This window comes from Homo sapiens, chromosome X (assembly GCF_000001405.40).
Source record: "Homo sapiens chromosome X, GRCh38.p14 Primary Assembly".
NCBI classification, from domain to species: Eukaryota; Metazoa; Chordata; class Mammalia; order Primates; family Hominidae; genus Homo; species Homo sapiens.
This window is the reverse complement of record NC_000023.11, coordinates 47,182,137-47,190,846: the sequence shown is the minus strand read 5'-3', so window position 1 is coordinate 47,190,846 and position 8,710 is coordinate 47,182,137. Positions and strand designations below refer to the sequence as shown.

At 51.3% G+C, this 8,710-nt stretch overlaps 1 protein-coding gene across 14 annotated transcripts in view; it reads right to left on the bottom strand.

Annotated features, from left to right (window-relative positions):
- Window positions 4,034-8,710, bottom strand: part of RBM10 (RNA binding motif protein 10) — a 41,593-nt gene continuing 36,916 nt past the window's right edge. For all 14 annotated transcript variants that reach the window (NM_001204468.2, NM_001440861.1, XM_047442551.1 and 11 more), the window contains 8 exons: window positions 8,521-8,685; window positions 5,643-5,792; window positions 5,480-5,545; window positions 5,217-5,405; window positions 5,057-5,131; window positions 4,676-4,782; window positions 4,460-4,589; window positions 4,034-4,373 (listed from right to left, as the gene is read on the bottom strand). In NM_001204468.2, coding sequence (NP_001191397.1) covers window positions 4,248-4,373; window positions 4,460-4,589; window positions 4,676-4,782; window positions 5,057-5,131; window positions 5,217-5,405; window positions 5,480-5,545; window positions 5,643-5,792; window positions 8,521-8,685 — 1,008 coding nt within the window. In that variant the 3' untranslated portion in view covers window positions 4,034-4,247. The remainder of the gene's footprint in view (window positions 4,374-4,459; window positions 4,590-4,675; window positions 4,783-5,056; window positions 5,132-5,216; window positions 5,406-5,479; window positions 5,546-5,642; window positions 5,793-8,520; window positions 8,686-8,710) is intronic.

The following is an 8,710-nucleotide window of genomic DNA, read 5'->3' as shown; positions in this document are numbered from 1 at the left end:
GCGCGGAGCTCGGAAGCGCGGGGCCTTGGAGAGCCCCGGGTCTGGGATGTACCACAGATGCTTTGCTAGAGGGGCGTCAGTCCCTGCTCCCGCGTCGCTGGTGCCCGTTTCAGACCCAGATGACCCTACAGGTTGTGGTACGGCCCAAATGCGCGCGGCATGCTGGGGGTGGTAGTTCTGTCTGGCCAGTGCCTGGTGCACGTGGTGGGCACCAGCGTCCAGAATATGGGAAAATGTAAGCCTGAGCTGTGGAATTGCCGGAGCCGTGCTCTGTAGGGTGGGAAGAGGAAACGGAACGTGTGGGTGCCTCCACATGGAAAGGCACACCCATCCTACAGATGGGGAGACCGAGACTCAGGTGGCCAAAAAAGTTCATTTGACATGGGCCAGGTGCTGGAAATTCTTCCTTGGGCTCATGGAGCTGACATTCTAGCAAGATACACAGACCATAAACATAACAATAAGTAAAATTATAGTTTCACATACAAACCCGTATTATAATAGATATCTGTGACTATATACAGTAATATAAATTATGGATATACAATCATGTGCTGCATAACATTTTGGTCAACGGTCCTATAACACAGAAAAAATTTTACTGTTATCTTTTCTATGTTTACATGTTACCATAGTGGAGACGGGATTTCGCCACGTTAGCCAGACTGGACTAGAGCTCCTGAGCTCAGGCGATACCGCCCGCTCGGCCTCCCAAAGTGCTGGGACTATAGGCGCGAGCCGCCGCGCCTGGCAAAATTCTTTAGCCTTTTAATAAATGGAGTCTTGGCCGGGCGCGGCGGCTCACGCCTATAATCCCATCACTTTGGCAGGCTGAGGCAGGATGATTGCTTGAGCCCAGGAGTTCAAGACCAGCCTGGGCAACAAAGTGAGACCCCCCCACGCCCCAACATACACACACACACACCCCACCACCACCACCTGGTCTCCACAAAAAATCAAAGAATTAGCTGGGCATAGTGGGGTGCATCTGTGGTCCCACAGTGAGCCCTGTGGAGGCAGGAAAATAGACAAAGGAGAGGGAGAGGGAGGGTGGAAGAGAGGGTTGTACTATTTTGCATTGCCTCCAGCGATGTATGAGAGTGCCTCTTCCTTCGCAGCTTCAGCTAACACTAGCCTGTTAAAATAGACATCTTTTCTTTTTTCTAATATCTAGAACAACTTTAATAAGAAAGGAATTAACTTTAATAAGAAAGGAATCCTTGGGAGTTTGGTAGAATGCTCTTATAAAAACCATCTGGGCCAGGCGAGGTGGCTCATGCCTGTAATCACAGCACTTTGGGAGGCCAAGGAGGGTGGATCACCTGAGGTCAGGAGTTCAAGACCAGCTGGCCAACATAGCGAAACCCCATCTCTACTAAGAATACAAAATATTCCCTGGGTGTGGTGGTGCACACCTGTAATCCCAGCTACTCAGGAGGCTGAGGCAAGAGAATTGCTTGAACCCAGAAGGTGGAGGTTGCGGTAAACTGAGATCGCACCACTGCACTCCAGCCTGGGTGACAGAGTAAGACTCCATCTAAAAAAAAAAAAAGAAAGAAAGAAAGGAACACACACATACACACATCATCTGGGCCCTTTTTTTTTTTTTGTGGGGAAAGGGAAGATCTTGACAACCATTTCAATTTCTATATTACTAATTGCTCCATTTGAGTAATCAGTTTCTCCATGGAACAGTTTTGGCATTTGATATTTCTCTAGGAATATATTCATTTCATCTAGATTTTCAGATACATTCTTTATTTTTAAAAGCTCTGTTGCATTTGCATCTTCTATCTTCTTCAATTGACCAGTCTTGCCAAAAGTGTTTCCTCTTAATTTTTGTTTTCAGATTCTGCTTTTGGTTTCTATTAATCTGTCATTTTTTGTTCTCTATATCATCAATTTCTGTTCATTATTTCCTTCTTATTTATTGAGGTTTGCTGTGGTGGTGATTTTCCAACTTCTTGTATAATTTACATACAATAAAACACTCAGATTTTAGTTATACAGCTTGTTGGACTTTTAAATAGGTATACACCCATGTGACCAGCACCCCAATCAAGACATAGAAACTTTTCATGATTCCAGAAAGCTACCTTGCAACCCTTTCCAGTGACACCCTCCTCACCTCAACCCTCTTCTACTATCACCATAAAATTGTTCTGCCTGCCTTAGAACTTCATATAAATGGAATGAAACATTATGTGTTTTTTGTGTCTGGCTTCTTTCACCATGTGAACAATCTCACCATGTGAGACTCATCCTTTGATATCTGTATCAGCATTGTGTTCCTTTTGATTGCTGAGCTGTAGTCCATCCTTTGAATATACCACACTGTATCCATTCTCCTCTAGTTGGACATTTGGGTTGTTCCCAGTTTTTGGCTATTAGGAATACAGCTGCTACAAATATATGTATGCAAGTCTTTTGTTGACATGTTTTCATGTATTTGGAGCTAAATATCTAAGAGTAGAATTGCTGGGCCATAGGTTAAGCATATGTTAACTTTATAGGAAGCAGCCAGTTTTCCAGAGTGGCTGTATCATTTTGCACTCCTGCCAGTTGAGCTTTGAGGGTTCCTTGTGGGATTTTGGGAGCAGTGCTCTGGGGTGGGAAGAGGGAAGGGAATGTGGAGGCGTCTCTGCTAAAAGACACACCCATCCTGAGACTAGGGCAGCCTCTTTTTTTCAAGAAAGGGTTTCACTCTTGTCCCCCAGACTTGGGTGCAGGGGCGTGATCTCGGCTCGCTGCAACCTCCACCTCCCGGGCTCAAGCAATCCTCCCACTACAGCTTCCTGAGTAGCTGGGATTACAGGTGTGTGCCACTACAGCTGGCTAATTTTTGTACTTTTTTTTTTGTAGAGACGGGGTTTCACCTTGTTGCCCAGGCTGGTTTCAAACTCCTGAGCTCCAGTGATCCATCTGCCTCGGCCTCCCAGAATGCTGGGATTACAGGCGCGAATCACTGCGCCCAGCCTAATTTTATTTATTTATTTATTTTTGTAGAGACAGGGCCTGGCTATGTTATCCAGGCTGGTCTTGAACTCCTGAGCTCAAGTGATCCGCCTGCCTCAGCCTCCTAAATTGCTGGGATTACTTACAGGTGCAACTCACTGTGCCCAGGCCCAGGAGGCCTCTTTTTAATCCTGTTTCCTTCACCCTTTTTTTCTCCCATCCCCTTCCTTCATTGGGCAACACCCACCACCCCAGATCAGCACCATCCTACCTCTAGGGGTCCCCTTCTAACCCCACCTCCTATGACTGTTGCAGGGTGGTGTCACAATGTATATTAATAAATGGGGGAGGGGCTTTGCACCAACTGGTCTTCTAGCACCATCCCCCTTTCACGCTGTGGCCCTCTGAGGCTTGGAAGAGGGCAGCCCCAGCGTCACGGTCCACTGTACCCAGAACCTCTGCCGAGAGCACAAGCACATACTTGGGAATCATGGGTTGCAGTGACTAGAGGGGTGGGGCACTGTGGTAACAACAGAGAAGGTAGGCCTGAATGGTTCTCAAAGGGCATCCCTGGGACCTGGCCTTGGATTTGCAGGCCAAGCTCCACCTCCACCCCTCTGTCATCAGCCTGTTGAGGGCTCTGGGCCAACTGGAACCTGAGTACCTCTTGTATTCTACTTGGAGATGCCTGAGGGCATTGTCTCCAGATCTAGGGATGGCAAAATGCAGTTTAGCCTTGGGACTGCAGGCTAAGTAAAGCCAGGGGGCAGCAAGGACAGGGGATGGGGGTTCCCAGTCCTAGCTCTGATCAGGGGGCGCTTCATGCCTGGTGGTGCTAGATTTCCTGGTACAACATAACCTGCTGGAACCAACAAGGGAGAGGGGCCATAACCAGGATATTATGGGTCGGGGTACAGGTCAGAACCCCATGTTCTAGTAGCCATTATGTTCCAGACACTGAATGCCACCACTGCCATCCACCTTGGCCTGATAAGGTCCCCTGTCCATCTGCTTGGGTCCCCGTGTCTGTATAGGCTATACAACTGTGCTAGAGCACGAGAAAGAGGAGAGGCCAACATGCAGACTTTTCAGCTTTTATTACAAAACAGGACGTGATCCCAGCCCAATTTTCCAACAAAAGTCACCACCTCAATTTGATTTGGTCAAGCCCTCTCTGGCTGGGGAGTGGGCTGGCCGACAAGAGCAAGGCCCCGTCCCAGCCATCCAACACTCTGTCCTTCCCTGCCCCAGGATGGACACCCAACATGTGGAGAAGTTGCTCTTGAAGCTGCTCACTGGGCCTCGTTGAAGCGGGTCACCATTGTCTTGTGCAGTGTCTCCTTGTAGGACTCGGTTGAGGTGACCCCGTAGGAGCTGCCCCGTGCACCCAGGCCGGAGCCCCGCACCCGTGTTTGGGCCTGTGTGAGGGAGGCAGGCTCTGTCAGGCTGGTGGGGGATGCTGTGAGGGGTGCTGGGGGATGGGACAGGACTGCCTGAGACTCACCTCGATAGGCGTTACAATGCCCTGCTTCTTGCGGCCCAGGCCGCTGCCCTCTTTCCAGCCCATGGCCTGCAGCATCCGACTGCCAATGTTGTCACTGCCCAGCCCGTCCCGAGTAGGCTGCTCGAAGTCTCTGCAGGGGCGGTGCACAGCATGAGTGGTCGGCCTGCCGGCCCCGGCCCCGGGCTCCAGACCCCCTCACCTGGCCCAGCCACTCACACAGAGGCTGTGGATATGCCGCCGTACTTCCTCCTCTTGGGCTCTGGCGGCTCGGGGATGCCATACTTTTCTCTGCGTTCAGCTGCACGGTCCCGGTACTTCATTTGCTGAAAGTTTGTATGTGTATGTGAATGTTGGGGAGCTGGTCTCTTTTCTCAGGCAACACAGGCATGGGGAGTGGGGTCCCACAGGGCATGCCATCTGGCTAATGAGGCTCAGGTCCTGAGGGTCAGGCCATCACAGGCACAAGCAGCCAGGATAGGAAAATGGGGAAGAAGGCTCACGGGGTTAACACGTGAGAAATTGAACTCCAGCTGCCTGAGGTGATGGGGACTTGGAAGGGACACAGGGGAGGGAGCCCAGGGTCAGGTCACACCTCACCTCCATGTCATTCTTCTCTAGTGCTTCTAGCTCGTTTTCTGACAAGTGGGCTCGCCGGTGAATCTCAAGGTTTTGCTGCAAGAGGGACAGGATGAGAAGTGAAGAGGATGAGCCTCAGTGGGCCAGGCCCCAGCATGCCCTGCCAACCATCCGCTGTTACCTTGTGGAGCCCTGAGAGCTGCTGGTGCCGGATGAGCGCCTCTTTGCTGGGGAACTGGCGTCGGCAGAGCAGACAGGCCAGCTTCTGCCAGTCGGTGAGCTTCTCCTCCCGCTCAGGGCCCCCACGCTCCTGCTCCTCCTCACTGTCACTCTCCCCGCTGTAGGCTGCCACCAGTCCTCGCGGAGGGCTCTGTAGAGGGTGAGGGTGGGCGGTCAGGCCTGGCCAGATCAGAGCCCCCGCCCCTCTCTGCCTTGGGCACTCACTGGGCGGTCGTCACTGGCCAATTTCGGGAGATCCATGCTGGTGTGCTGTCTCTCGGCTAGTGCTCCCTGGGGTGGAGGGACACAGAAATTCAGGGACTCCACAGAGGGCCCAAAGGAAGGACAAGATTGTGGGGCAGGGTGCAGGGGGGTGGCCCCAACACACCTTCTTCTCGAGGATGGCATAGCCAGCATCTGCAGTGGCTGACTCCCGCCTCTCGTCATCTCGCAGGGAGCTGATAGGCTGGAAGCTATTTTTGAAGTTTTCTTTTTGTTTGTTGAGACTGCGGGCCCAGCGTTCCATGTCCTTGGCAATCTGGGGGTGAGGGTGGAGGTGAGGTTCCCAGAACCCTCATGACCCTGGGGCTACTAACTCTATCTGCTGACCCACTGCCCTGCATCCTCAAACACGGGCCAGCCACTATCCCTAGTCCGAACCACTGCAGAAGGCTTCATCTGGCCTCTGGGCTACGGCTCCTGACCACCTTTCCCAGCAGAGCGCTCTTTCATGAAGTATAAGCCACTCCCACCCCCAAATACAATGTCCTTAAAACCCTTCCTTCGCCTCCCATCACACCAAGAATAAACCCAAACTCGCAACCACAGCCTGCAAGGCACTTGGCACCTGGCTACTCCTGACCTCATCACTGAACACACCCTGTGCCCCCACCCCCACTGGTTTGCAATGGTGAGGTGGCAGAAGCAGTGTGGACAGAGTGGCGGGCCCATCTGGGAGGCAGATGAGTGGAAGCTGAGGCAGAACAATCAGAAGGTGAGGGACACAGTAGTGCAAGTTCCTATTTTCTGTCACCAGTCACCAGTGCTTCTTGCCAAGCCCCTCTCTGGCTGTGTTCTCTGCTATGTTTTTTGTCCCTCAAAGTTCATGTGTCAGAAATGTAATCCCTAATGCAACAGTGTTCACAGGTGGAGCCTTTATCCCGGCTGAGTGCAGTGGCTCACACCTGTAATCCCAGCACTTTGGGAGGCCAAGGCGGGTGGATCACTTGAGGTCAGGAGTTTGAGACCAGCCTGGCTAACACAGTGAAACCCCAGCTCTACTAAAAAAATACAAAATTAGCTGGGCGTGGTGGTGGATGCCTGTAATCCCAGCTACTTGGAAGGCTGAGGCAGGAGAATTCCTTGAACCCGGGAGGCGGAGGCTGCAGTGTGCTGAGATTGCACCATTGCACTCCAGCCCAGGCAACAAGAGTGAAACTCCATCTCAAAAGATAAATTTAATCCCTGATGCAACAGTGTTGACAGGCAGGGCCTTTCAGAGGTGATTAGGTCACAAAGGCTCTGCCCTCCTCAAGAGATCGCGGCTGCTTTTTAAAGAAATTGTATAAGTTTATGGGGTAACAAGTGCTTTTGTAGCCAGGCGCGGTAGCTCATGCCTATAATCCCAGCACTTTGGGAGGCCGAGACAGACACATCACCTGAGGTCAGGAGTTTGAGACCAGCCTGGCCAACATGGCGAAAACCCGTCTCTACTAAAATTACAAAAAAATTAGCTGGGCATGGTGGCGGATGCCTGTAATCCCAGCTACTCGGGAGGCTGAGGGAGGAGAATTGCTTGAACCCAGGAGGTGGAGGCTGCAGTGATCCGAGATTGCACCACTGCACTCCAGCCTGGATGATAAGAGCGAAACTCCATCTCAAAAAAATAATAAATAAATAAATAAAATAAACAAGTGCTTTTGTTACATGCACAGATTGTATAGTGCTGAAGTCAGGGTTCTTAGAGCATCCATCAGCCAAATAATGTACATCATACCCATTAAGTAATTTTTCATCCTTCACCCCCTCCCATCTCCTCCACCTTTATATATATATAATATATATATATTTTGAGAAGGAGTCTCGTTCTTGTTGCCCAGGCTGGAGTGCAATGGCACGATCTCAGCTCACTGCAACCTCCGCCTCCTGGGTTCAAGTGATTCTCCTGCCTCAGCTTCCTGAGTAGCCGGGATTACAGGCGCCTGCCACCACGCCTGGCTAATTTTTGTATTTTTAGTAGAGACGGGGTTTCGCCATGTTGGCCAGGCTGGTCTCAAACTCCTGACCTCAGGTGATCTGCCCACCCCAGCCTCCCAAACTGCTGGGATTACAGGCATGAGCCACGGCTCCCGGCCCCCCTCCACCTTTTGAGTCTCCATTTAATGCCATCACTGAGTGGGTTCCAGATAAAAAGGGGGAGTTTGGCCCAATTTTCTCTTGCTCTCATGCATGCTCTCTTGCCCTTTGCCATGTTATGATGCGGCAAGAAGGCCCTCACCAGATGCCAACACCACTGGGCTTCCCTGCCTACAGAACTGTGAGCCAAATCAATCTCTTTTCCTTATAAATTACCCAGTCTGTGGTATTGTTATGGAGCAGCAAATGGATGAAGACACTCCTCTTCCCCTGACATACACCCACGCTGTCACATTTGTTGTGCATTTCCATTTTATCATTTAAAAATGCATAGGAATGTTTATTTGTGTATAACTTTATATGCATGACACAATGCCACATTCTATATTTCCATGTTCCCCCCAGCACAGCACCATTTTTAGAATTCATCAGGTTGCTAAGGTAACACTTAGTGCTTGCTTGTAAACGCTACGCTCACAGTGTCACACCCTTTCTCCACAGAGAGACACTGAGGTGCCCTCCATCTGCCCACTCCCACAAAACATTGCAGGGCTTTTTTCCTGCCCACCCCCTTATGGCCTGTGAGAATTTCTCTGGCATACATGTATATTCACCAGCAGAATGTGAGGGTCCCCACCATGGGACAGAAGACACCTGACAGGGCTCACTCGGATGGCACAAGCCACCTCCTGGAGTTGGGCAACCCTGCCACACACTGAGGAGACTGCTCTGGCTCAAGGCCATTCAGCAAAGAGCAGAGCTGGGGCAAGAGCATGGTCTGCTAAGCAGTCACTGCCCACATCCACACCTGCCCGCCATCTCCCTTGGCAGGAGAGGGCAAGAGCTGACAGAGTGCCGTTGCTGGAAGACACCACACAGCCAGCCAGTGACTGCTGGACCCTGGTGTTCACCTGTTGAGCTGTCTTGGTCTTGTGCTTCTCCTTCTTCTCTTTGCCCTCCTTCGAGGGTGCCCCTGTCTCCTTATGTCCGTCGGCCGACTGCTCCAGGGCGGGAACATAGGTCCGCCTCTCCCCATCCCAGTACAGGTACTGCTGGCTCTGAGCATTGTAGTAATACTGAGGGAGGAGGAGGGAAGAGGGG